This window comes from Homo sapiens, chromosome 1 (genome assembly GCF_000001405.40).
Source record: "Homo sapiens chromosome 1, GRCh38.p14 Primary Assembly".
Classification (NCBI taxonomy): domain Eukaryota; kingdom Metazoa; phylum Chordata; class Mammalia; order Primates; family Hominidae; genus Homo; species Homo sapiens.
This window is the reverse complement of record NC_000001.11, coordinates 224,311,877-224,338,935: the sequence shown is the minus strand read 5'-3', so window position 1 is coordinate 224,338,935 and position 27,059 is coordinate 224,311,877. Positions and strand designations below refer to the sequence as shown.

General features: G+C 41.8%; 1 protein-coding gene and 1 non-coding gene across 19 annotated transcripts in view, besides 6 other annotated features; one reads left to right on the top strand and one right to left on the bottom strand.

The window, feature by feature from the left end:
• Positions 1-2,046: 2,046 nt before the first annotated feature.
• On the bottom strand, positions 2,047-2,145 carry LOC124904838 (small nucleolar RNA U13). Its single transcript, XR_007067434.1, has one exon. It is a non-coding gene; the product is annotated as a small nucleolar RNA U13 (small nucleolar RNA).
• Positions 2,663-3,151: a silencer, noted in NCBI's record as "fragment chr1:224523487-224523975 (GRCh37/hg19 assembly coordinates)". NCBI's record gives its function as "represses an EF-1alpha promoter that drives an FKBP-Casp9 reporter gene in an ReSE screen in K562 erythroleukemia cells {active_cell/tissue: K562}" and the evidence as "EXISTENCE:reporter gene assay evidence [ECO:0000049][PMID:32094911]".
• Positions 4,595-4,889: an enhancer, noted in NCBI's record as "tiled region #12366; K562 Activating DNase matched - State 5:Enh". NCBI's record gives its function as "activates a minimal TATA promoter and a strong SV40 promoter by Sharpr-MPRA in K562 cells {active_cell/tissue: K562}" and the evidence as "EXISTENCE:reporter gene assay evidence [ECO:0000049][PMID:27701403]".
• Positions 8,547-8,696: an enhancer, noted in NCBI's record as "active region_2608". NCBI's record gives its function as "activates an Ori minimal core promoter by ATAC-STARR-seq in GM12878 lymphoblastoid cells {active_cell/tissue: GM12878}" and the evidence as "EXISTENCE:reporter gene assay evidence [ECO:0000049][PMID:35858748]".
• Positions 8,717-8,766: an enhancer, noted in NCBI's record as "active region_2607". NCBI's record gives its function as "activates an Ori minimal core promoter by ATAC-STARR-seq in GM12878 lymphoblastoid cells {active_cell/tissue: GM12878}" and the evidence as "EXISTENCE:reporter gene assay evidence [ECO:0000049][PMID:35858748]".
• The window catches only part of NVL (nuclear VCP like), a 102,828-nt gene continuing 84,532 nt past the window's right edge, over positions 8,764-27,059 (top strand). For 7 of the 18 annotated variants that reach the window (XM_017001379.2, XM_017001378.2, XM_017001380.3 and 4 more), the window contains exons 1-5: positions 8,764-8,865; positions 12,472-12,545; positions 21,006-21,058; positions 21,143-21,242; positions 25,785-25,886. In XM_017001379.2, coding sequence (XP_016856868.1) covers positions 8,809-8,865; positions 12,472-12,545; positions 21,006-21,058; positions 21,143-21,242; positions 25,785-25,886 — 386 coding nt within the window. In that variant the 5' untranslated portion in view covers positions 8,764-8,808. Of the gene's footprint in view, positions 8,866-12,471; positions 12,546-21,005; positions 21,059-21,142; positions 21,243-25,780; positions 25,887-27,059 lie in introns of those variants that run through there. The other 11 variants (NM_001243147.2, NM_002533.4, XM_011544196.1 and 8 more) reach the window with 4 other exon arrangements.
• Positions 8,957-9,006: an enhancer, noted in NCBI's record as "active region_2606". NCBI's record gives its function as "activates an Ori minimal core promoter by ATAC-STARR-seq in GM12878 lymphoblastoid cells {active_cell/tissue: GM12878}" and the evidence as "EXISTENCE:reporter gene assay evidence [ECO:0000049][PMID:35858748]".
• Positions 9,057-9,196: an enhancer, noted in NCBI's record as "active region_2605". NCBI's record gives its function as "activates an Ori minimal core promoter by ATAC-STARR-seq in GM12878 lymphoblastoid cells {active_cell/tissue: GM12878}" and the evidence as "EXISTENCE:reporter gene assay evidence [ECO:0000049][PMID:35858748]".

The following is a 27,059-nucleotide window of genomic DNA, read 5'->3' as shown; positions in this document are numbered from 1 at the left end:
CTCAAAAGCAAGTTGCCATGGTATTGTTACTGGTGGAGGGTCTTGACTAGGTTGTCCAGGTCTTGACGAGTTGTCCAGGTTCTTGGTGTGTTGAACAAAGAATTGAGCAAAATGCACAAACAAAGCAACAAAAGAATGAAGCAATGAAGCACCGATTTATTGAAGCGAAAGTACATGCCACAGAGGGGAGCGGGCTTGAGCAAGCAGCTCAAGAGCTCCTGGTTGCAAAATCTTCTGGGGTTTAAGTACCCTTTAGAAGTTTCCTATTGGTTACACCCTATGTAGATGAAGACTTGGCCCCTGACCAATTGGAAGCTGAAGTAAGTTATACTCTATGCAAATAAAGACTTGGCCTGCGACTAATCAGAAGCTGAAGTGAAGGCTCCCTGTCTCCACACCCTATTCTCCTGCCTCAGTATTGGCTTCTATGCCTATCAGGCAGTGAGCCCTTGCTCCATAACAATTCCACTCCTGGGTGTACTGTATACCCCACAGAACTGAAACTTAAAGTGGAAATAACCCAAATGTCTATCAGGTGATGAACTGATAACTAAAATGGGATATATCTATACCACAGAATATTACTCAGCAATGAAAAGGAATGAAGTATTAATATATGCTATAACATGGAGAAACCTTGGACACATTATGCTAAGTGAAAGAAGTCAGACACAAAAGGTCACATATTGTATAATTCCATTTATATGAAATGTCCAAAATAGGCAAATCCATAGAAACAAAAAGTAGATTTGTGGTTTCCAGGGGCTGGGAAGAGGGGAAAACTGAAGTGACTGCTTAATAGTTACAGGGTTTCTTTCTGGGCTAATGAAATGTTCTGGAACTATATAGTGGTAATGTCTGCATAACCCTGTAAACATACTAAATGCCACTGAATTGTATACTTTAAAATGAATAAAATGGTGAATTTTATGCTATGTATATTTACCTCAATTAAAAAAAAATTTCCCCAGCATGGTGGCTCACACCTGTAATCCCAGCATTCTTGGAGGCTGAGGCAGAAGGATTGGTTGAAGCCAGGGGTTCGAAACCAGCCTGGGTAACACAGCAAGACCCAGTTTAAAAAAAAAAAAAAAGCCAGCACAGTGACACATGCCTGTAATCCTAACTACTCAGGAGGCTGAGGCAGGAGGGTCACTTGAGTTCAGGAGGCTGAACCTACAGTGAGCTATGATCACCATTGTACCCCAGCCTGGGCCACAAGAGTGAGACTTTCTTTTTTTTTTTTTTTTTTTTGAGATGGAGTTTCACTCTTGTGGCCCAGGCTGGAGTGCAATGGCGCAATCTCAGCTCACCACAACCTCTGCATCCCGGGTTCAAGCGATTCTCCTGCCTCAGCCTCCTGAGTAGCTGGGATTACAGGCATGCGCTACCACACCCGGCTAATTTTTGTATTTTTAGTAGAGATGGGGTTTCTCCATGTTGGTCAGGCTGGTCTCGAACTCCTGACCTCAGGTGATCTGCCCACCTCGGCCTCCCAAAGTGCTGGGATTACAGGCATGAGCCACCGCGCCTGGCCTGAGACCATCTTTTAAAAATAAATAAATAAATGGATAAAATCACTGAGTTATACACTTTAAATGGACCCTTTTTATTATAGGTAAATTATACCTCAATAGTGTTTTTTAAAAAATGTTAATGATACCAGGTTCTTATTCAGGAATGTTTTGGCTCTTTTCTGTCATTTTCTCTTCTGCATCAATCTTAGATTCGACTTTTAAAATTCCTCCAGATACCTGTATTTGTTCAAATTAATGTTGGTTTTGAGTGACAGAAATCTGAAATAATGGTGGTTGAAACAACAAATAAGCTTATTTTTCTCTGTTTCTGTTCCTAGAACAGGTCAACTTCTTTTCTGCTTAAAGTCTTGGCACACATTATTCTCTCTCTACCTCAAACTCTTCCCACTCTCCTTGTACAATTGGCTTCTGCTATACTTAAAGTCCTTACCTGTCACATTCTCAGAAAGACCTCCCTTGACCAGGGACTGAGGTAGTCTCCCTTTTTTATTTTCTTCTTTTTTTTCCATGTCAGACGTGTAATATGCACGGAACAAGGTTTGAGGGTAGCACATCTTATCCTTCTGCATGAACACCCATTCTTCACACTTAGGAACTACAAAAGGATTTGTTATTTTCTTCCCTTTTTTTGAGACAGAGTTTCGCTCTTGTTGCCCAGGATGGAGTGCAGTGGCACAATCTCAGCTCACCGCAACCTCCGCCTCCCGGGTTCAAGTGATTCTCCTGCCTCAAACTCCCAAGTAGCTGGGATTACAGGCATGCGCCACCACCCCTGGCTAATTTTGTATTTTTAGTAGAGACAGGGTTTCTCCATGTTGGTCAGGCTGGTCTCAAACTCCCAATCTCAGGTGATCTGCCCGCCTCGGCCTCCCAAAGTGCTGGGATTACAGGCGTGAGCCACTGCACCTGGCCTTGTTATTTTCTATCACAGTACTCTGATTATTTACTTCACAATTTTCATTCATTTACTTAACAATTATTTACTAAAAAATTTCTATATGAAAGATTCAGGCCAGGAGCAATGGCTCACACCTGTAATCCCAGCAATTTGGGAGGTGGAGGTGGGTGGATCACTTGAGGTCAGGAGTTCGAGATCAGCCTGGCCAACATAACAAAACCCCATCTCTACTAAAAACACAAAAAAATTAGCCAGGCATGGTGGTGCGTGCCTGTAATTCCAGCTACTTGGGAGGCTGAGGCAGGAGAATCGCTTGAATAGCTTGAAACCCGGGAGGTGGAGGTTGCAGTGAGCCAAGCTCACGCCACTGCACTCCAGCCTGGGTGACAGAGTGAGACTCCATCTCAAAAAATAATAATTAAAAAAATAGGCAGGGCACAGTGGCTCACCCCTGTAATACCGGCACTTTGGGAGGCCGAAGCAGGCGGATCACCTGAGGTCAGGAGTTCAAGACCAGCCTGGCTAACATGGTGAAACCCCGTTTCTACTAAAAATACAAAAACTTAGCTGGGCATGGTGGTGCACGCCTGTAATCCCAGCTACTTGGGAGGCTGAGGCAGGAGAATTGCTTGAACCCGGGAGGTGGAGGTTGCAGTAAGCCAAGATCACTCCATTGCACTCCAGCTTGGACAACAAGAGCGAAACTCTGTCTCTAAATAAATAAATAAATAAATAAATAAAAAGATTCTATACCATGGGCTATGAAATCCTCCTTACTTCTCATTTTTTAATTAAACATTTATTGATTTACCAGTTCATCTCCTGTCCCTCTCTAAAGGGACACTGTAGAATATAAGTTCCAAGGCCATATCTGTTTTGGTCATCACTGTTTTTTTTGATTTCGGCATAGTAACTGGTACACAGGAGACAATAAATATTTGTAGAATGAATGTATAAAATGCCAAGCTCAAAATATTATTTTCATTCTATTCAGGATTAGGAACATAAATGAGGCAATCACCTCAAAGAATGGTAAACCTGATTAGAAAATGGAATCGTTAGCCATTACCAAATAAAATAAATTAAAGATTTTTTTTAATCTCAAAAAACTCAAGGCCGGGCGCAGTGGCCCATGCCTGTAATCCCAGCAGTTTGGGAGGCTGAAGCGAGCGGATCACTTGAGGTCAGGAGTTTGAGACCAGCCTGGCCAATGTGATGAAACCTGTCTCTACCAAAAAATACAAAAGTTAGCTGGGTGTGGTGGCACGTACAAGTAGTCCCAGCTACTCAGGAGGTTGGGGTGGGAGAATTGCTTAAACCAGGGAAGTGGCCGGGAGCAGTGGCTCACGCCTGTAATCCCAGCACTTTAGGAGGCCAAGGCGGATGGATCACGAGGTCAGGAGTTCAAGACCAGCCTGGCCAAGATGATGAAACCCCATCTCTATTAAAAATACAAAAAAATTAGCTGGGTGTGATGGTGGGCACTTGCAATCCCAGCTACTCGGGAGGCTGAAGCAGAGAATTGCTTGCACTTGGGAGGCGGAGGATGCAGTGAGCTGAGATCGTGCCACTGCACTCCAGCCTGGGCGACAGAGCAAGACTACATCTCAAAAAAACAAAAACAAAAACAAAAAAAACAGGGAAGCAGAGGTTGCAGTGAGCTGAAATCATGCCACTGCACTCTAGCCTGGTCGACAGAGTGGGATGCTCTGTATTAGTCAATTTTCACACTGCTGATAAAGACATACCCAAGACTGGGTAATTTATAAAGAAAAACAGACTTAATGGACCTATAGTTCCTCGTGGCTGGGGAGGTCTCACAATCATGGTGGAAGAGTAAAGGCACGTCTTACATGATGGCAGATGAGACAGAATTAGAGCCAAGCAAAAGAGGAAACACCTTATAAAATCATCAGATCTCATGAGACTTATTCACTACCACCAGAACAGTATGGGGGAAACCACCCCCATGATTCATTTATCTGCCACTAGGTCCTTCCTACAATTCATAAGAATTATGGAAGCCACAATTCAAGATGAGATTTGAGTGGCGACATAGCCAAACCATATAACCCTGTCTCGAAAAAGAAAAGAAAAGAACATAACAGAACAGAACTCAGTCTCCAGCTCCCAGCAAGCAGGAAGCCTCATTTTTGCATCTCAGTAAGGATCCTCTGACATGCAAACTTCATCTTTTTCTCCATGTTCCTACTATACATAGAGTGGTCATACATTGTCCAAACTAGAACCTTTTTGAGAGATAAAAGGAAGACACTGAACATGTGAATGAAAAATGGCCAGACCAAATGCAAAAATAGAACTCTGACTCACAATCTGCAGCAACCAGACCAGAAAACCAATATATCATCTACAAGTCAGACATGTAGGAAGTTAGATCACTATCACTAGCAAACAATCCAGGAACCCAGCAACAACCCCTGTAACAAACGGCCCCAGATGGCAAAAACTTTATTAATAAATGATAGCTTTTCTAATTTTTGGACCTGCTGTCAACATAGGACCAAAAAGAAAACCAACTGTGCATCCCAACCAAACACATAGGATGCTCTGCTAGTTCTATTTAGCCCACCTATAGCTTCCCTATGACAACAGTCTTCAGTTAGGGCGTACCTGAAGCCTTCCCCTATTCCCCACCATAAAGTTTTCCCACTCCTCTGCCTGTCTTTGAGGCTCTGCCAAAACACAAGTGATGGTGGCTGACTCCCTTGTTATAGCAAACTCTGAACAAATAGTCTTCACCTCTTCTTATGTATTTGGTCTTCATGTATTTCCACAAAGGGGATACTAGCAATAATTTTGCTGAATCAAAAATCAGGACTGTCCTGAGCAAATCTGGACATAAATCACCCTAGTTATGAAGCACAATTAGACCAGAAGCTGTTTGCTTGTGAAATACTGTATGAGGTTTAGGAGAAAGTGTGAAAGACAAAAGATAAAATACGCCACTACCACTAGGTGGGGTTACACCACCAAAGAATGGAGGATGCTTCAATTAAAAAAGGAAGTGCTTAAAGTGTATATGCACTTAGGTTACTGTTCAGTAATCTTTTTGGTTTTGATGCATGATATTGTAAATCCAAACATTGGAATCAATGTAAAATGGTCTTCAGGGCAATAATTGATGAAATAATTCCAACGAGAAATGTTCAAGCATATTATCATCTAGTATTAATTCACTTTCAATTATTGCCTTCTGCACCTGAAGCAGTAGTGAGATGAACAACACATTCCCTGCCTTTAAGAAGGAGGTGGCTGGGTGCAGTGGCTCATGCCTGTAATCCCAGCACTTTGAGAGGCCGAGACAGGCGAATCACGAGGTCAGGAGTTCAAGACGAGCCTGGCCAATATGGTGAAACCCTGTCTCTACTAAAAATACAAAAATTAGCTGGGCATGGTGGCATGCACCTGGAGTCCCAGCTACTTGGGAGGCTGAGGCAGAAGAATCGCTTGAACCCGGGAGGCGGAGGTTACAGTGAGCCAAGATCGTACCACTGCACTCTAGCCTGGCAATATAGTGAGACTCCACCTAAAAAAAAAAAGAAGAAAAAGAAGAAGAAGGCAGCATTCTAGAGTACTTCAAGTTTACATATGAATGGCTGGTTACATAATTTGTAAGACCCAGTGCAAAATGAAAATAAGGGACAGCTTATTCAGAAAGCATTTCAAGATGGCAACAGTACAGCATTAAACCACCTGTGGGGCCCTTCTGAGCACAGGGCCCTGTGTGACTGCAGAGGTCACATACCCATGAAGTCAACCCTAAGTGTAGGATAGTATTCTATGACAAATTATAGACTAATAAACTATATTGCCTAGTACATGTCATGATACTACTAGGCCTTTCAATGTGGTTGTTTATTTGTTCGTTTTTTTGAGATGGAGTTTTGCTCTTGTTGCCCAGGCTAGAGTGCAATGGCGCAATCTCAGCTCACTGCAACCTCTGCCTCCCAGGTTCAAGTGATTCTCCTGCCTCAGCCTCCCAAGTAGCTAGGATTACAGGCATGGGCCACCACACCCGGATAATTTTGTATTTTTAATAGAGACAGGGTTTCACCACATTGGTCAGGCTAGTCTTGAACTCCTGACCTCAGGTGATCCACCTGCCTCTGCCTCCCAAAGTGCTGGTAGTATAGGCATGAGCCACCATGCCTGGCCTCAGTGTGTTTTCATTCTATGTTGGACATTTGGCATGCACAGAATTACATTTCATTTTAAAAATTACTGAGCATTGACTACATTTGTACTATATGCTGTAGGGAATCTTTGCTAACATTTAATCAAGCACATAAATACCTAATCAAATTTTTTAAATGTTATAAAAAGTTAGTTATAATTCTTCCACTTTTCCCCACAAGCCTAAAGCGCAGAGCAGAGACTGAAACTGGTAGGCACTCAATAAACACTTGTTGAATGAATGCAAGAAGGCTGGAAAGTCCAATATCAAGGAGTTGTTATTTGGTGAGGGCCTTCTTGCTGTGTCATCCCATGGCAAAAGGCAGAATGGCAACAAAAGAGCCAAATTTTATTCAGCCTTAAAAGTGAAGGAAAGGCCAGGTGCGGTGGCTTATACCTGTAATCCCAGCACTTTGGGAGGCCAAGGCAGGTGGATCACCTCAGGTCAGGAGTTGGAGATCAGCCTGGCCAACATGGCAAAACGCCATTTCTACTAAAAATACAAAAAATTAGCCGGGTGTGGTGGTACACACCTGTAGTCCCAACTACTTGGGAGGCTGAGGTGGTAGAATCTCTTGAACCCAGGAGGCGAAGGTTGCAGTGAGCTGAGATTGCGCCACTGCACTCCAGCCTGGGCAACAGAGCAAGACTCTGTATCAAAAAAAAAAAAAAAAAAAAAAGAAAAGAAAGAAGGAAATTCTAACACATGCTATATGAGGGCATTAAGCTAAGAAACAAGCCAGTCACAAAAGTCAAATACTGGAAGATTCCACTTATATGAGGAAGTTAGTGTAGTCAAAATCATAAAGACAGTAAGTAGAATGGTAGTTGCCAGGGGCTGGGGGGAGGGAGGAATGGGGAGTTATTTTTTAATTAGTATAGAGTTTTAGTTGTACAAGATGAAAAGAGTTCTGGAACTAGATGGCAGTGATGGTTGCATATTATGAATGTATTATCACTAAACTGCACACTTTAAAATGTTTAAGATGGTGAATGTTCTTATATTTTACAACTAAAAAAATAAAAAATAAAACTACACATAGTGAAGAAGTAGGAAATGAAGTTGCAACCAAACGGATCAATATTTTGAGTGGGAAATCTAATACTTAATTCAGTGCTAATTTTTATATTTTTAGTAGAGACAAGGTTTCACCATGTTGGCCAGGCTGGTCGTGAACTCCTGACCTCAAGTGATCTGCCCGCCTCGGCCTCCCAAAGTGCTGGGATTACAGGTGTGAGCCACCGTGCCCGGCCTCACGCCCTTCTCTTAATTCCATTTTCTCTCCCCTCTGCCCCTTAATACACTGCACTTAACCTTGTCATAAGCCAAGGAGGACCTGAAATAAGAATACTCAAAACACGGTTGAAATAAACAAGAAGACAGAAACTAAAGCCAGCATTTTTTTTTTAATGCTTGGTAACTGTCCCTTTGTGTCTCCCTAAGTGCAGGATAAACTTCTTGGGGCAAATACAAACGTTTGATAAAATTCTGGGCCAAGGAGTCCTGCACTGGATATATTCAACAAATTACCTGCCGATGATAACAGCGTAAGTCAAACGAGTTCTAAAAGTAACAAATGACTTAGTTATCTGGATAAATCCGTCCTTCCTTTTCTTTTTCACCTAGCCCTTTTGTCGGGCCTCTAAAATGTAAGATAACTACGTGGGAAAGCAAGCAGCGGCTGGTGGTGTGTTTTTACCCTGATTTTATCACTCCAAGTATCTACCGTGGCTGGTTTTGCGAAGACTAGCTTTGTATCAGAATGAGGTGTGGCTGGAACGCCTGAGGAAAGCAAACCAAGTTTTCCAGAGGACGCCGTTGACAGCGTCTCCGCACACCGCGCCGGGGTAGGAACTTCCTCCCACCTGGTTCGCCCGGCGGGGAACCAATAAAGTTGAGCGCGTTCAAAGGGGTCCTAATCTTCCAGGGTCCACTGGGCAGGCCTGCAAAATAAGGCCCCTAGAAACTCCCTGAGGTTTTCAAGTCTTCTCCCTCTCCTCGGAATTTTTTCCCCTTCATTCGCATTACTTTTATTCTGACGGAAACGGCGCGGGCTAGGCCCCAGGAGGGGCGCATTTCAGGTGCAACTGGCCCGGCGATCGCGGCGGGCAACCCCTACGAGGCCCCCGGTTGACTAGGAGCTGGCGGTCCGAGCTGTGGCTTGGAAGACCGACGCGATGAAGCCCAGACCTGCAGGGTTCGTGGATAATAAACTCAAGCAGCGAGTCATCCAGGTGTGTATTCTGCACCGCTTGGCCTCGCCAAGGGCCCCGATCGCTGCCCCAGGGTGCCACTCCCCTTTTGTCGGGTGGCATCCAGGTGGAACTCAACTAGTCTTCTTTCCCCAGTCTGGGTCTGGGCGTGCGTCTGTTTCTCCTTAGTTGGTGCTGCCGGGGCCTTCCCTACCCACGTTGGTGCGGAGTCTCAGGGAGAAGCCGGGGATGGTGGGAGGGTGCAGCTTGGTAGGGCTGCCCAAGTTGTCTGGTCGTCTTCAGCGCAGATCATTCAGTAGAGTGGAGGTAGCCTTTGAATTTTAACCTCTTTGGCTTGTGAAGTTAGCACAGGAATGGTCTTCAAACGCTCGCATTGTAAGAGGTCCTTGAGAAGGGGTGGCATAAATAATATGTTAATTTCCGTTCTCAAGGAACTTACACACTAAAACGAGATAACATGGGTCTGGCAACAGTAACAGGCACTTTGCCTACGGTTTTCTCATTTTCATGACCATCAGTAAAAAGCAGTGTGTGGCAAATACCTCAGAATGTAAGCAAGCAGTCTGAGTTAAAAGGTGGGAGAGAATTTTCTTCACTTAGGAATTTGTGAGCTACACATTCTCCTTGTTTTTCTTTCACTTCACCAGCCCCTAAACAATCTCCTTTTCGGACCCATCTTTTCCTACCAACTTGTAAATGTTGGAAGTGCTCTGTGCCACTGTTCTCTTACCTCCCCTTCCTCCTCTTTCCTCATACACCTTTCTTATCTATCCATACTTCCTATGTGATCTCATTTAGTGTAATAACCTTTGAGTAGTATCTACATACTCTATTATCTATGTATTTATTTCATTTTATTTTTATTTTTCTGAGACATAGTCTCGCTCTGTTGCCCAGGCTAGAGTGCAGTGGCTGTTTATGGGCACAATCATAACTCACTGCACCCTCGGCCTCCCTGACTCAAGTGATCCTCCCTCCTCAGCCTCCCCAGTAGCTGGGACTACAGGTGTGCACCACCACACCTGGCTAATTTATTATTATTATTATTATTTGTAGAGACGGGGTTCCACTATGTTACTCTGGCTGGTCTCTAACTCCTGGGCTCAAGCGATCGGGCCTCAGCCTCCCAAAGTGCTGGGATTACCGGTGCAAGCTGCTGCACTGGCCTCTGTATATTTATGACTGCTAACTTTATATCTCCAGTCCAGATTTTATCTTGAAGTACAGATTGATATATCCAGCTGCCTAGTCAGCATATCTCCAAATTAAAATGGCCAAGTGGAATTTGTGATTTTTTTCTTCCTTCAAATCTGCCCTTTCTTAGTGTTCTGTATCTCAGTAAATGATACTACCGTTCGTCCTGTTGTTAAGGCCAAAAACCTTAAGGATCATTCTGAGTCTTTCATTTCCTGTATACCATCTGTCAACAGCCTGGTTGGCTTTACTTTCAAAATATATTCCAAGTACTTCTTACTGTCTTTCCCTGTAACCATCTTAGTCCAAACCATCATCTCTACCTTATACTATTACAATAGCCTCCTAACTGATCTCTCTGATTCTGCTTTTACCTAAAGCCTATTCCCCACAGAGCAGCCAGAGACATCTAATTTTTTTTTTTTTTTCTGCTCACTGCAACCTCTGCCTCCTGGGTTCAAGTGATTCTCCTGCCTCAGCCTCCCGAGTACGTGGGATTACAAGTGCATGCCATCACGCCTGGCTACTTTTTGTATTTTTAGTAGGGATGGGATTTCACCATGTTGGCCAGGCTAGTCTCGAACTCCTGACCTCAGGTGATCTGCCCGCCTCAGCCTCCCAAAGTGCTGGGATTACAGGCGTGGCCAAGACATCCTTTTAAAGGGAAAAATCGGGCTAGGGGAGGGATAGCATTAGGAAAAATACCTAATGTAGATGACGGGTTGATGGGTGCAGGAAACCACCATGGCACCTGTATACCTATGTAACAAACCCGCATGTTCTGCACATGTATCCCAGAACTTAAAGTATAACTAAAAAAAAGGGGGGGGAAATCAGAGCTTGCCATAGCCCTGCTCAAAACCTTTCAGTGGAGTCACAGACATCTAGAGTAAAACCCAGTCTGAAAAGCCCTGCATATTCTGGCCTCTGTTGTCCTAGTTTACTTTTCCTCTCCTGTCCCAGCCACACAGACCTTCTCAAACATGCCAAGCACAGGACCTTTGTTCTCGTTGTTCAGTCACTCTGAATTACTCTTCCTCTGGATGTTCCCGCGTCCCACAACTTGCTCCTTCACTTTATTGAGGTTTCTGAGCAGTGACTCCTAATTACTGGATCTAGTGGCCTCTTCTCTGTCCTCACACTTGACTCTTTTCAGCGTTTGACATTATCAGTTTTCCTCTATAGCTTTCACTTTGGTTCATTATAAAAGTACAAATGAATATCCCTTATTCTAAATGCTTAAGACCAAAAAATGTTTCAGATTGATTTTTTTCAGGTTTTGGAATGTTTGCATATACATAATGAGATATTTGGGGATGGGACCCAAGTTAAACATGAAGTTTATTTATGTTTCATATACACCTTACACACATAGCCTGAAGATAGTCTTACACAATATTTTAAATAAATTTTCACTTAGCTATATATTTAATTTAATTTTAATTTTTTATTTTTGAGACTGGGTCTAGCTCTGTCACCCAGGCTGGAGTGCAGTGGTGTGAACACTGCTCACTGCCATCTCAAACTCGTGGGGTCAAGTGATTCTCCCACCTCAGCCTCCCATGTAGCTGGGACCACAGGTATGCACCACCATGTCTGGCTAATTTTAAAATTTTTTGTAGAGATGAGATCTTACCACCTTGCCCAGGCTGGTCTCGAACACCTGGACTGAAGCAATCCTCCCGCCTTGGCCTCTCAAAGTGCTGGGATTACGGGTGTGAGCCACCACGCCCGGGCTTATTTATGTATTTATTTTTGAGATAAGGTCTCGTTCTGTTATCCAGGCTGGAGTGCAGTGGCTCGATCATAGCTCACTGCAACCTCTAAGTCTGGGCTTAAGCGATCTCCCACCTTGGCCTCCCAAAATGCTGGGAGTATAAGCACAAGCCACCACATCCAACCAACTTTTTAATTTTTTTGTAGAGATGAGGTCAAACTTTGTTGCCCAGGGTGGTCTCAAACTCCTGGGCTCCCAAAGTGTTGGGATTACAGATATGAGCCACCATGCCCAGCCAAAAGGTGATTTAATATTGAAACTAAATTGCCTCAAGCTAGTAGTTCTGCAGTATCTGACAGATGTCAAATATCACTGTGTTCCTTGAAGTTTAAAATATCCCCTCCTACCCTTATGAGTTTACTGCAGTGTTCTGGGGTGTTTGGAAACCTAGGATATTAGTAAGTAAGCCCTCACTTACTGCCTTATAACTATTCTGATAATTATTAGTATTGTATTATAGTGATTAATAATGTTAATTAAATTTTCTGATTTCATATTTGACAATTATTTGGTTACTTTTATTTATGTTTCTGGTACACTTTATTAACGAAGAGTTTATCTTAAAGTATAATGTGTTCAGATAGCTCAATCTGTTGATTAAAATCACTGAGTTTGAAATATTGGGTGTTTTGTATTTGTTATATTTTCTGTTTTAGTACCTTACCAGTAACAAATGTGGCAAATATGTGGACATTGGAGTCTTAGCGTCTGATTTACAAAGAGTGTACAGGTAAATAAATATAGTTTCCGGATCCTTGGATTTTTATGTCTCCTTTACCATTTTAAAAGTTTATATCCTGCCTAAATTTCCAGTTGATATCAGTAGCTGCTGGCATTAGTTCACCAATCCATAATCTTGGAACTCAATTCAGTTATGCAAACATTTATCAAATACCTATTATGTGCAGTAAAATGTCTTTTGTACTGTGGGAAATGGGTCACTGCTTATCTTTTAGTACCTGACAGTCTGGTCAAGAGATAGAGATGTTATTATATCACTTCCTTTCCTGCTACATTAGAAAATTAAAACCGGGCCAGTCATAATGGCTCATGCCTGTAATCTCAACACTTTGGGAGGCTGAGGTGGGAGGATGGCTTAAGCCCAGGAGTTTGAGACCAGCCTGGGCAACATGGTGAAACCCCATCTGTACAAAAAATATACAAAAATTTGCCAGGCTTGGTGGCATGCACCTGTGGTCCCACCTACTTGGGAGGCTGAGGTGGGAGGATCACTTGAGCCCAGGAGGTCAAGGCTGTAGTGAGCTGTGGTCACGCCACTGCACTCTAACCTCAGTGACAGAATAAGATCCTGTCCCAAAAAAGAAAGAAAATTAAAACCATCACCAGCAGGTATGATCTCCCTGAGTTTCCTGACTCCTTTCTTTTTGAGACAGAATTTCGCTCTTGTTGCCCAGGCTGGAGTGCAATGGCATGACCTCAGCTCACCGCAACCTCCGCTTCCCAGGTTCAAGCAATTCTCCTGCCTCAGCTTCCCAAGTAGCTGGAATTACAGGCATGTGCCACCACACCTGGGTAATTTTGTATTTTTAGTAGAGACAGGGCTTCACCATGTTGGCCAGGCTGGTCTCGAACTCCTGACCTCAGGTGATCCGCCCACCTTGGCCTCCCAAAGTGCTGGGATTACAGACGTGAGCCACAGCGCCCAGCCTCTTTTTTTTTTTTTTTAAATACAGTTTTTATTTTTATTTTTTGTGGAGACAGGGCCTTCTGTATTTGCCCAGGTTGGTCTGGAACACCTGACCTCAAGTGATCCTTCCACCTTCGCCTCCCTAAGTGCTAGGATGACACGCATGAGCCACCATGCCCAGCCAGCTTCCTGAGTCTTTTTTTTTTTTTCTGAGACGGAGTCTTGCTCTGTCGCCCAGGCTGGAGTGCAGTGGCGCGATCTCGGCTCACTGCAAGCTCTGCCTCCTGGGTTTAAGCGATTCTCCTGCCTCAGCCTCCTGAGTAGCTGGGATTACAGGCGTGTGCTAACCACACCCAACTAATTTTTGTATTTTTAATAGAGATGGGGTTTCACCATGTTGGCCAGGCTGGTCTTGAACTCCTGACCTCAGGTGATCTGCCTACCTCAGCCTCCCAAAGTGCTGGGGTTATAGGTGGGAGCCACCGCACCTGGCCAAGAATACCTTAATTATTTCTAGAGGCTCTATCTCCAAATGCAGTCATATTCAGAGGTACTGGGGGTTAGGACATCAACATAAGAATATAAGGGAAACACAATTCAGCTTATTGGACTCTGTCCTGTGGCTCCCAAAATTCATGGCCTTCTCATGTGCAGATACATTCATTCCATTCCACAAGCCCCAAAAGTCTTAACTCATTTTAGCATCAACTCTTAAGTCCAAACTCTCATCTCAATATCATCTAAATCAGGCCAGATGCAAGGACTCACACCTATAATCCCAGCATTTTGAGGGGCCATTGGCTTAAGGCCATAGAGTTCAAGACCAACTTGGGGAACATAGTGAGACCCCATCTCTACAAAATGAAAATAGAAATAATTAGCTGGGCATGGTGGCCTGAACCTGTAGTCCTTGCTACTCAAGAGGCTGAGGTGGGAGGATCGCTTGAGCCCAGGAGTTCAAGGTTGCAGTGAGCTATGATTGCACCAGTGCACTCCAGCTGGGTAACAGAGCAAGACCCTGTCTCTAAAAATAAAATAAATAAAAATAATGTTATCTAAATTAATTGGTAATGGCTGAGATTCAAGGTATGATTTATCCTGGGGCAAAATTCCTCTTCATCTATTAACCTGTGAAACCAGACAAGTTATCTGCTTCCAAAATACAGGCATGTGCTATATAACAGTGTTTCAGTCAATGATGGACCTCATGTATGATGGTGATCCCATAAGATTATTACATCATATTTGTACTGTACCTTTTCTGTGTTTAGATATGTTTAAAAACACAATACCATTGTGTTACAGTTGCCTATAGTATTTAGTACAATAATGTGCTGTATAGGTTTGTAGGCACAGTAGGCTATACCATGTAGTCTAGGTGTGTAATAGGCTAGCCCATCTAGGTTTGTGTAAGTATACTCTTACTTATTTTTGTTTTCACACAATGAAAATGCTTAATGATACACTTCTCAGAATGTGTCTCCATTGTTTAGTGATGCACAATTGTACAATGGCAGGACAGGCATAGGTGTAGGTTAGACATTCATTCCTATTCTAAAAGAGAGCAATTGGAAAAAAGAAAGGGTCATGGGTCCCAAGCAAATCTAAAACCAAGCAGGGCAAATGTCATTAGATTTTCAGATGTTAGAATAATCCTCTTTGGCTTGATGCCCTGCCCTGTGGGCTCCGTAGGGTGGTGATCCTGCCCTGTTACCTAGGAGGAGGCAGCCCCACCTGCCGGACCTGTGCCCTCTGGGTTTGTGTTGGCAGTGGCAGCCCTGCCTTCTTTTGAGCCTCCTGAAGGGTCGTTCTTCCCTTTTCTTGAAGGATAACTTGTGTTCACAACTGGATGGTTTTATTGGCCCTGTCCTATAGAATCCTGGAAGTCCAACAGCCTTCCTTAATTTTGTCCCCATCTCGGTCCCTTCAGTCCAAGCTGGCAGTGTTTCTGTTGCTTTAACCCCATGTCTATTCCTGGCTTCTGCTAAGATGGCTGACTGGATCCATAAGTCATATGCTGGTAATCGCTTTAGCAAATTGTTGTCCCCCCACACCCTTGATGTTCTCTTTAGATTATGCTTTTTCATTTTTTACAATATGGATAAACTGAGAATTTTCCAATCTTCAGGTTCTAGTTTCCTTTTTGTTGAACAATTCCTTCTTTATGTCTCTCTATACTGTAAAATTTTACTATAAGCAGCAAGGAGAAATCAGGCCACACTTCAACACTTTGCTTGGAAATGTGAGTGAAATATCTAGATTCATCACTTACAAGTTCTACTTTTAAAACAGTAAAACACAAGTCCTCTGCCACTTCGTAACATGGACTGCCTTTCTTCCAATTTCCAATATCCTGCTTCTCATTTCTGTCTGAGACCTCACCAGAAGCATCTTTAACATTCATATTTCTAATAGCATTCTCTCTCTGTGTGTATATAACTATAGAACCTTCCTGTACAGCTCTTCTCTTGTCTTTCTGAGCTCTTACCAGAATTGCCTTCCGTGTCTTTTTTTTTTTGGAGATGGAGTCTCACTCTGTCACCCAGGCTGGAGTGCAGTGGCGCAATCTCAGCTCACTGCAACCTCTGCCTCCCTGGTTCAAGCGATTCTCCTGCCTCAGCCTCCCGAGGGGCTGGGACTACGGGTGCACGCCACCATGCCTGGCTAATTTTTTGTATTTTAGTAGCGACAGGGTTTCACTGTGTTGCCCAGGCTGGTCTTGAACTCCTGAGCTCAGGCAATCTGCCCGCCTCATTCTCCCAACATGCTAGGATTATAGGCATGAGCCACCACGCCCTGCGGTGTCCATATTTCTAACAGCAGTCACTTCAGAGCCATCTAGGTTTCTTCTAACATGCACCTCAAAACTCTCTGGCCTCTACTACCTAGTTCTGAAACCATTTCTACATTTTAAGGTATTTGTCACAGTAGCACTATACTTATCAATACCAAAATCTGTATTAGGAAGGAAGAAAAGAAGAGAAACTAAGACAGAAAGCTTTTTAAAACAATAGTATACCTCACTTTGGCTACCACTCAGTAGTATTTTTCCTTCCCCTGATCAGAATTTATTTAATGAGTGGTCTAAGGCCAGGGCACAGTGGCTCACACCTGTAATTTCAGCACTTAGAGAGGCTGACACAGGAGGATTGCTTGAGGCTAGGAGTTTGAGACCAGACTGGGCAACATAGCAAGATTCTGTCTCTACCAAAAAAAAAAAAAAAAAAAATTAGCGTGGCATGCACCTGTAGTCTGTCTTAGCTACTCAGGAAGTTGAAGCAGGAGGATCACTTGAGGCCAGGAATTCAAGGCTGCAGTGAGCTACGATTGCACCGCTGCACTGAAGCGTGGGTGACAGAGCAAGACCCTGTCTCTTAAAAAATAAAAATAAAGACTAAACTAAGATTGTTTCTATCCCCGCCACTCACTCCATTGAAATCTGTGAGTTGTGTTTTGTTGGTAACCTTTTTTCTTAGTTGGTGGTATGACTGTTACTCAGCCAGTCACCCAGGTTAATCTGTATGTTGTCCACTTCCTTCTACCTAGCCTTGAATCCCCCTGCCATGTCTATAATAAGTCACCAAGAAGCCTTGCTGTGGTCTCTTAAATATTTCATGATGCCTGTTCTCTCCTTTCCCTACCATTACTATACTAGCCTAATCCAGAGCCTCATTATTTCTTGTCTAGACTACTGTTTCAGTTTTTTTTTTTTTTTTTGAGGTGGAATCTTACTCTGTTGCTCAGGGTGGAGTGCAGCGGGGCAATCTCGGCTCACTGCAACCTCCGCCTCCTGGGTTCAAGTGACTCTCCTGCCTCAGCCTCCCAAGTAGCCAGGACTACAGGTGTACACCACCACACCCTAAAAATTTATTTAAAATTTATTTAAAAATTATTACTAAAAATAATTTTTGTATTTTTAGTAGAGATGTGGTTTCGCCATGTTGGCCAGTCTGGTCTTGAACTCTTGACCTCAAGTGATCCTCCTGCCTTGGCATCCCAAAGTGTTAGGATTATAGGCATGAGCCACTACACCTGGCCTGTTTCAGCTTTTAAACATTCTGCCTACATCCATCTGCCATCTTCTCTTATCCAGGTGTTGGCAAACTATGGCCCTCAAACCAGTTCCTGCCTACCACCTTGTTTTGTATGGCTCATGAGTGAAGAATCGCTTTTACGTCTTTCTTTCTCTCTTTGTTTAATTTTTAATTAATTATTTATTTATTTTTTGGAGACACAGTCTCGCTCTATCATCCAGGTTGGAGTGCAGTGGCTCAATCTCGGCTCACTGCAGCTTCAGCCCCCTGGGCTCATCCTTCTGCCTCAGCCCCCAGATGGCTGGAACTAAGGCACATGCCACCATGCCCCGCTGATTCTTTGTATTTTTTGTAGAGATGGGGTTTTGCCATGTTGCCCAGCTGGCCTTGAACTCCTGAGCTCAAGTGATCCTCTCGCCTCAGCCTCCTAAAGTGCTAGGATTCCAGGCATGAGCCACCGTGCCAGGCCCCAAGTTGCCTTTTTAAATGGTCATGATTTAGTACAATATTTGCCTCATCTAAAACTTTGTGTTTTGAAGTAATTTCACATTTAAGAAAAACTGACCCAGACGAGCTTAGACAACATAGTGAGACCCCCATCTCTGCAAAAAAAATCAAAAAATTAACTAGGTGTGCTGGCACGTGTCTGTCATCGTACCTACTCGGATGCTGGGGTGGGAGGATTGCATGAGACCAGGAGGTTGAGGTTGTGGCAAGCTCTGATTGCACAACTACACTTCAGCCTGACTGAGTGAGACCCTGTCTCAAAAACATAAAGTTTTTTTTTTTTTTGAGATGGAGTCTCACTCAGTCACCCAGGCTGGAGTGTGGTGGTGTGATGTCTGCCCACTGCAACCTCCACCTCCTGGGCTCAAGTGATACTCCTGCCTCAGCCTCCCAAGTAGCTGGGATTACAGGCACCCACCACCATGCCTGGCTGATTTTTGTATTTTTAGTAGAGATGGGGTTTTACCATGTTGGCCAGGCTAGTTTCGAACTCCTGACCGCAAATGATCCGCCCATCTTGGCCTCCCAAAGTACTGGGATTACAAGTGTGAGCCACTGCGCTGGCACAGATTTTTATAAAGAGGAAAATGGAAAAAATAGTACAAAGAACACCCATATACTCTACCTAGAATGTCCCTTTATCCATGCATACTATCTATTCCCTAAGGACAAAGGCTTTTATTATATAACCACAGTTTATTTATTAAAACCAGAAAATGTAATCTTGATTCAGTAATATTATCGAATCCACCATTCATATTCAGAGTTTGCCTGTCTCAATAATGTTCTTTATAGCTATTATTTTATCGGAATTTTTTTTCCAGAACTGAAATCCAGCCCCTAAATTATGCTTGTTTTGCTTTTTAGTTTCCTTTAATCTGCAACAGTTCCTCAACCTTTTTTTGTTTTTCATGATCTTTACATTTTTGAAGATTACAGGTAGTTACTATATAGAATATCCCTCAATTTGGATTTTTCTGCTGTTTTCACATGGTTGGAATCAGGTTATATGTTTTTGGAAGGAAAACCAAAGAAGCAATTTGACTTCAAAAGGCACAGAATATCTGTGTGGGGTGTTATTCGGTAATGTTAGTTTTGATCGATCCACTGTAAATTAATTTGAAATTAATAAATAATTTATAAGAATATATTTTCAGATTATACAAATATCCTGTACTCATCAAACTTTCACCTATATTTTTAGCAGATGGTCTTGCTAAAAATGTTTAACTTGAATTTAATAATGAGGAGACATAAATTCAGATTGTGGGACATTTTATAAATTAGCTGGCCTGGATCCTTCAAAAATGTCAGTGTTACATGCACAAAGGTGAAGAGATTATTACAAGTTAAAAGAGTCCAAAGAGACACAACAACCAAGTAAATGCATGAACCTTGACTAGACTCTGGGTCAAAGAAAAACAACTATATCCTGTCTCTACTAAAAATACAAAAAAATAGCCGGGTGTGGTGGCAGGCGCCTGTAGTCCCAGCTACTCAGGAGGCTGAGGCAGGAGAATGGCGTGAACCCCGGAAGCGGAGTCTGCAGTGAGCCGAGATTGCACCACTGCACTCCAGCCTGGGCCACAGAGCGAGACTCCGTTTCAAAAAAACAAAAAGAAAGAAAGAAAAACAACTATAAAGACCATTTTTTGGGAATAATTTGAGAAATTTTAATATGGACTGTATATTAGATAATTTATCAATATTAAATTTCTTATTTGTGCTAATTGTATTGTAGCTATGCAGATATCCTTTTTTTTTTTTTTTTTTTTTTTGAGACGGAGTCTTGCTCTGTCCCCAGGCTGGAGTGCAGTGGTGTGATCTCGGCTCACTGCAACCTCCGCCTCCTGGGTTCATGGGATTCTCCTGCCTCAGCCTCCCAAGTAACTGGGACCACAAGTGTGCACCACCACACCCAGCTGATTTTTTTTTTTTTTTTTGAGACGGAGTCCCGCTTTGTCGCCCAGGCTGGAGTGCAGTGGCACGATCTTGGCTCACTGCAAGCTCTGCCTCCTGGGTTCACGCCATTCTGTTGCCTCAGGCTCCCCAGTAGCTGGGACTACAGGCGCCCACCACCACGCCTGGCTAATTTTTTTTTTTTTTATTTTTAGAAGAGACGAGGTTTCACCGTGTTAGCCAGGCTGGTCTCAATCTCCTGACCTCATGATCCTCCCACCTCAGCCTCCCAAAGTTCTGGAATTACAGGAGTGAGCCACCGCACCTGGCTGCAGATATTCTTTTTTAAAGAGATACATGCTGAGAATTTTTGAGACGAAGGGTCTGTAACTTAGTTTCTTCTTCTTAGTTTTTTAATTTATTATTTTTTTTGAGATGAGATCTTGCTCTGTTGGCCAAGCTGAGTGCATTGGCGCAATCACGGCTCACTGCAGCCTTCACCTCCCAGACTCAAGCTGTTCTCCCACCTCAGCCTCCCAAGTAGCTGGGACTACAGCCACGTACTACCATACCTGGCTAATTTTTAATATTTTGTAGGGATAGGGTTTCCCTATGTTGGCAGGGATGGTCTCAAACTCCTAGGCTCAAGTGATTCTCCCACCTCAGCCTCCCAAAGTGCTGGGATTACAGGCATGAGCCACTGTGCCTGGCCTAGAACTTATTTTCAAATGGTTTTGCTCTACCCCTCCAAAAGAAATCTCTATATGTAGACAGAAGTAAAGTAAATGTGGCAGTTTGAGAATACTATAGGTAAAGAATATACGAGTGTTGATTACATTATTTCTTTCATATTTTTAGTAACTTTGAAATTTTAAAATAAAAATATTTGAAGCAAAAAAGGTTAGTTTAAAAAAGGGGGAAAATGGAGAAAGGTCACAATAGTAAATATATAAACTTAGAAGTTTGAAAATAGGGTTATGGCAAGTGTCTATACTGTAACAATGAAATATTCATGAAAATTTATTTGATCCATTTAGATTGAACTTAATGGAAAAATATTGGTGGAGACTACTATGGTAAACTTCTTGTTTTCTTTTTTCAGTATAGACTATGGTCGAAGAAAAAGAAATGCTTTTAGGATTCAGGTAGAAAAAGGTGAGTCTTATTGTTAGAGCTAAATTATCAATAAAGTTATACAAACGATTGTTTTAGCTCATAGCGTTTTTCTTTTTGTTTCAGTATTTAGCATAATTAGTAGTGAGAAGGAACTTAAGAATTTAACAGAATTAGAAGATGAACATTTGGCAAAAAGGGCAAGACAAGGTGAAGAGGATAATGAGTAAGTATACCAAATGCAGGGTTTTTTTAAACCATGAACTTTATCATGTTACATTCCTGCTTGTAAAACTTTCAGTGGCTCTTCATTGCCAACAAAGCCCTGCGTGATATTTACCTAACCTCTTCAGCCATATTGAATGTTCTTTATTCCCCAAAGAGATCAAATTCTCTTTGGCTGTGCCTTTGTATGGGTGGTTTTATTGAGTTAGAGTGTCATTTCCCTTTCACAAACTCCCACACAGCCCTCAAGAATCAGTTGAAATGTTACTGCCTTTATTAGGCCTAAGACCCCTTTTTAAATGTTTCCTTAGCTTCTAGTTACAGATATTTGTTATAATCCTTATCATATCATACGGCATTGAAATTATTTGCTTACTTGTTTGCATTACCAACAGTACTGTCTCATTACCTTCTTTTTCTGCCCTAATACAATATCAGATATATAAAAAGGTGCTGATTAATTTTGTTTAAGAAATAGTATTGAGAGTTTAAAAAATAGCTTTATTGAGGTATAATTGACATCAGTAAGCTCTACTTTTTTTTTTTTTTTTCTTTTGAGATTAAGTCTCACTCTGTCACCCAGGCTGGAGTGCAGTGGCACCATCTCGGCTCACTGCAACCTCTGCCCCCCGGGTTCAAGCGATTCTCTTGCCTCAGCCTCCCAAGTAGCTGGGATTACAGTCATGTGCCACCACACCCGGCTAATTTTTTATATTTTTGGTAGAGACGGGGTTTCACCATGTTGGCCAGGCTGGTCTCGAACTCCTGACTTCTAGTGATCCGCACATCTTGGCCTCCCAAAGTGCTGGGATTACAGGCGTGAGCCATTGCGCCTGGCCAACCTCTTCATTTTTAAAGTGTACAATTTGTTAAGTTTTGACATATAGATATACTCACTGAACTATCACCATAAGCAAGATACTGAACCTTTCCATAAATATCAAAAGTCTTCTTGTTCCGCTTTGCAATTCATTTCTCCCTCCACCCCTGCTTCTAGGCAAACTTTTTTCTTTTTCTTTTTTTTTTTTTTTTGAGACAGGGTTTTACTCTGTCACCCAGGCTGGAGTGCGATCACAGCTCATTGCAGCCTTGACTTCCCAGGTTACTTGATTCTTCTCCTTCAGCCTCCCAAGTAGCTGCAGGCACATGCTACCACACCTAGCTAATTTTTCGTAGAAATGGGGTTTTGCCATGTTGCCCAGGTTGGTCTCAAACTCCTGGGCTCAAGCAGTCTGCCCGCCTCATCCTCCCAAAGTGTTGGGATTATAGGTGCGAGCCACAGCACCCAGCTTTAGGCAACCATTGATTTGCTTTCTGTCACTGTATGTTACATTGCATTTTGTAGAATTTTATTTGGAATCATACTTTTAAAGTCTGGATTCTTTCATTCTTTCACTTAGCATGATTTTGAGATTTATCAATGTTGTGTGTATCAATAGTTCATTGCTTTTTATTGATAAGTATGTATGGACATGCTGCAATTATTTTATCTATTTATCTGTTTTTTTGTTTGTTTTTTTTGAGACAGAGTCTCACTTTGTTGCTCAGGCTGGAATGTAGTGGAGAGGCATATCATAACTCACTGCAGCCTCTACCTCCTGGGCTCAGGCGATTCTCCCATACGGGTGCATGCTACCATGCCCAGTTAATTTTCTAATTTTTTGTAGAAATGGGGGTCTCACTATGTTGTCAGGCTGGTCTTGTACCCCTGGGCTCAAGCAATCCTCTTGCCTCGGACTCCCAGAATGCTGGGATTACAGGTGTGAACCACCTTGCCTGACCTATCTGTTTATCTCTTGTTGGGCAGTTGGTTTGTTTCCAGTTTCTGGCTATTACAAATTAAGCTGCTATGAACATTTATGCTCATAAAATTCTACAAAATGCAATGTAACATATAGTGACAGAAAGCAAATCAATGGTTGCCTAAAGCCAGGTCTTTGTGTGGACAGTATTTTCATTTCCCTTGTTAAATATCTAAGATTAGAATAGCTGGGTCGTGTGATAGATGCATATTTAAGAAATTGCCAAACTATTTTCCAATGTCTTTATACCATTTTACTTTTACATTAGCAGTTTATGAGAATTCTACTCTTTCCACAAATTGCTGATATTTGTTATGGTCAGTGTTTAATTTTCAGTAGTGTTTCACTGTAAATATGACATTAGCTTTAGGTTTTTTTGTAGATGTCCTTTGTCAGATTGAGGAAGTTTCCTAATATTCCTAGATTGCTGAGAATTTTTGTCATGAATAGGTATTGCATTTGTCAAATGCTTTTCTGCATCTGTTGAAATTTCTCATTATGGCCTTTCCCCTTTAGTCTATTAATTTGATGAATTACATTGGTTCCCAGTATTAAGCCAATCTTGCCTCCTGGGGATAAACTCTACTTGGTCCTGATATGTTATCTTTTTAATGTATTGTTGGCAGCTTGGGCAACACAGCAAGACTCTGTCTCTACAGAAAATTTAAAAATTAGCCAGGCATAGTGGTGCATGGTTCTATCCCAGCTTCTTTGGAAGTTGAGGTAGGAGGATTGCTTGAGCCCCAGAGTTGAAGGTTACAATGAGCTATAATTATGCCACTGCACTCCAGCCTGGGTGAGAGAGTGAGGCCTTGTCTCTAAAAAAAAAAAAAAAGAAACAGAGTTATTTGTAAAGAGTATTTGTTTGACGTTGTTTTTTTGAGATGGAGTCTCACTCTTGTCGCCCAGGCTGGAGTGCAATAGCGTGATCTCAGCTCGCTGCAACCACCGCCTCCCGGGTTTAAGCCATTCTCCTGCCTCAGCCTCCTGAGTAGCTGGGATTACAGGCACATGCCACCATGCCCGGCTAATTTTTGAAAAAAAGGGTATTAATTGGATTCGATTTACTAATCTTTTTCTACAGATGTTTGCATCTGTATGTCATATTGGTCTGAATTTTCTTTTGTTCATTTTTGGAATGTCTGTCATATTTTGGTGTTAGGGTTACACCGGCCTCATGATATTAGTGGGAAAGTGTTCTTTTGTTCTCTATTTTATGAAAACACATTATGGAAATTCTTTTTTGAATATTTGTTAGTGTTCGACCACAGTTTTTCTAGGCCTAGAGTCAACTTCCCCCCGAGTCTTCTTTTTCTGAAGGATTTCGATAAATTTTAATTTTGCTAGATATACAGCTCTTCCTTACATCTCTCCTTATGTCAATTGTGATAAATTGTATTTTTTAATCATTTGTTCATTTTCTCTCAGGTGTGGAATTTGGTGGCATAATGCTTCTGCAATATTCTCTTGTTATCCTTTTAATGTCTACAGGATTTGGGGTGATAGCCCCATTTTACTGTTTGTAGCTCAGCCTTTTTCATTTAGATTTATCATAATTTTCTTAACCAGTTCCATATTCATGGATATTTATTTGTGTTACACTATTGCATAATAAATAACTCTTTACTGCTTTACTGCATATATCTTTGTACACATCACTTTTTTATGTTGAATTTTTGAGGTGGAATTTCTGGGGTCAAAGATTTATATTTTTGAGATTTCCAGTGCATTTGGACTTACCTTCCTAAAAAGGTTGCCTCAGTTTATACTCCCAACAACTTTGTATAAAGGGCACATTTCTCTGCATCCCTGCAATCTTTGTTATACTATAATTTAATCTTTGCTGTTTTTATAGGCAAAATATTGATCATATATATTTTTTCTTTTTTTGAGACAGAATCTCGCTCTGTCACCCAGGCTGGAGTCCAGTGGTGCGATCTCGACTCACTGCATCCTCTGCCTCCCAGGTTCAAGCAATTCTCCTGCCTCAGCCTCCCGAGTAGTTGGGATTACAGGCACCCACCACCACTGCTGGCCAATTTTTGTATGTTTAGTAGAGACAGGGTTTCACCATGTTGGCCAGGCTGGTCTCGAACTCCTGACCTCAGGCGATCCGCCCACCTTGGCCTCCCAAAGTGCTGGGGTTACAGGCTTGAGCCACCGCCTCTGGCCTTGATCATATTTTTATTTGTGATTTTATAATTATTGAGGTTAGTTTTTTTGTTATTTCATATTTGTTTTGCGAATTGCTTGCTTATGGAGTTTTTTCTATTTCATTTGAGAGGTATTTGCATTTTCCTTATTAGTTGTCAGAGGGTTTTGCATAAAATAATACCTCTTTATATGCATTACAACTGCTTTCCCCATGTTGCCACTTCTTTTTTAATTTTCGCTTGCACCATCTTTTGATTAGAGAAGTTTTGCATTTTTATGTAGTCAAATCTATCAGTCTTTTTCCTTTTGTTTTATGCTGATATGCTTAGAAAGACCTCTCTCACAAGAGTGTGTAAAATAATTACTTACACTTTTTTCTTCTTTCTTTATGTTTAACTCTTTAATCCACTTGGAATTTTTTTTTTCTTTTTTTAGGGCATGAGTTGTAAGGCAAAACTTTTTTTTTTTTCAAATAGTTGAATGATATACCTTATTTACATTGATTAGAATTGCTCCCAAGTAATGCTGATTAATTTTAATGAATACAGAATTTGCTTGTTTTTTTTTTTTTTTTTTTTTTGAGACAGCGTCTCGCTCTGTCACCCAGGCTTCAGTGCACTGGCACAATCATGGCTTACCGCAGTCTTGACGTCCCAGGCCCAAGCGATCCTCCCACCGCAGCCTCACAGGTAGCTGGGATTACAGGTGTGTGCCAGCATGCCCAGCTAATTTTTTAATTTTTTTGTAGAGACAGAGTCTCCCTTAGTTGCCCAGGCTAGAATTTGTATCTTAATATCTTAATTATAACAGCATTTCATTGCATTCATATAAAGCTTTCTACCTAAAAAAAAAAAAAAATTATTTAAATAAGAAAAGGGCTTTTTTTTTTTCTTATTTAAATAGTTTTTTTTTTTTTTTTAGGCAGAGTCTCGTACTGTGGGCCAGGCTGGAGTGTAGTGGCACGATCTTGGCTCACTGCAACCTCCGTCTCCCGGGCTCAAGTAATTTTCCTGCCTCAGCCTCCCGAGTAGCTGGGATTACAGGCGTATTTTCACCACACCTGGCTAATTTTTGTATTTTTAGTAGAGACGGGGTTTCACCATGTTGGCCAGGCTAGTCTCGAACTCCTGACCTCAGGTAATCCACCCACCTCGGCCTCCCAAAGTGCTGGGATTACAGGCGTGAGCCACCATGCCGGGCCTATTTAAATAATTTCCAAAGAAGTATTAAATACTAGCAGTGTCCTGAAGTTACTTGAAGCTATTAGATAACAACTTTCAGTTATAATGAATTAAGACTACATTCTCAGCTTGTAGTTTATTAGGCTTTATACCTCTTTTTTGATACAGGAAATTTATTTGCTCCTTCATCCCTCATGAACAGTCTTGCAGAAGTTGTATTTGGTTACATGCTTTGGTCATGTTGACTTTGTGAATTTGTTACTCAGAGTACTTAATTATAGGTTGCTGAAATATTTCCTCTACCTGAATCTGATATCCCTAAATGGGACCCTTGGGCCTGAGGGAATTTGTATCTCACTTTTATTTATTGCTAGGATAAATATAACTATAATTTATTTTGCATTTATTATATTTTGTAAATGCATAAGGACTTTGCAAGTGTTTATTTAATCCTTTAATAACCCTGGGAGACAGACATTACTTATTAAATCTCCGTTTTATAGATAAGGAAGCTGACGCTTAGAGAGGTTAAGTAATAACTGGTTAAGTTGGATTTTGAATCCTAGTTTCTCTGATTCCAGAGTTTGGACTCTTAACCACCATAATCTTTTGGCTGAATATATTTACTTGTTTTGGGTAGTCATTTTTTTAGGATATGGGAGAGAAAGTCTTTAAAACATT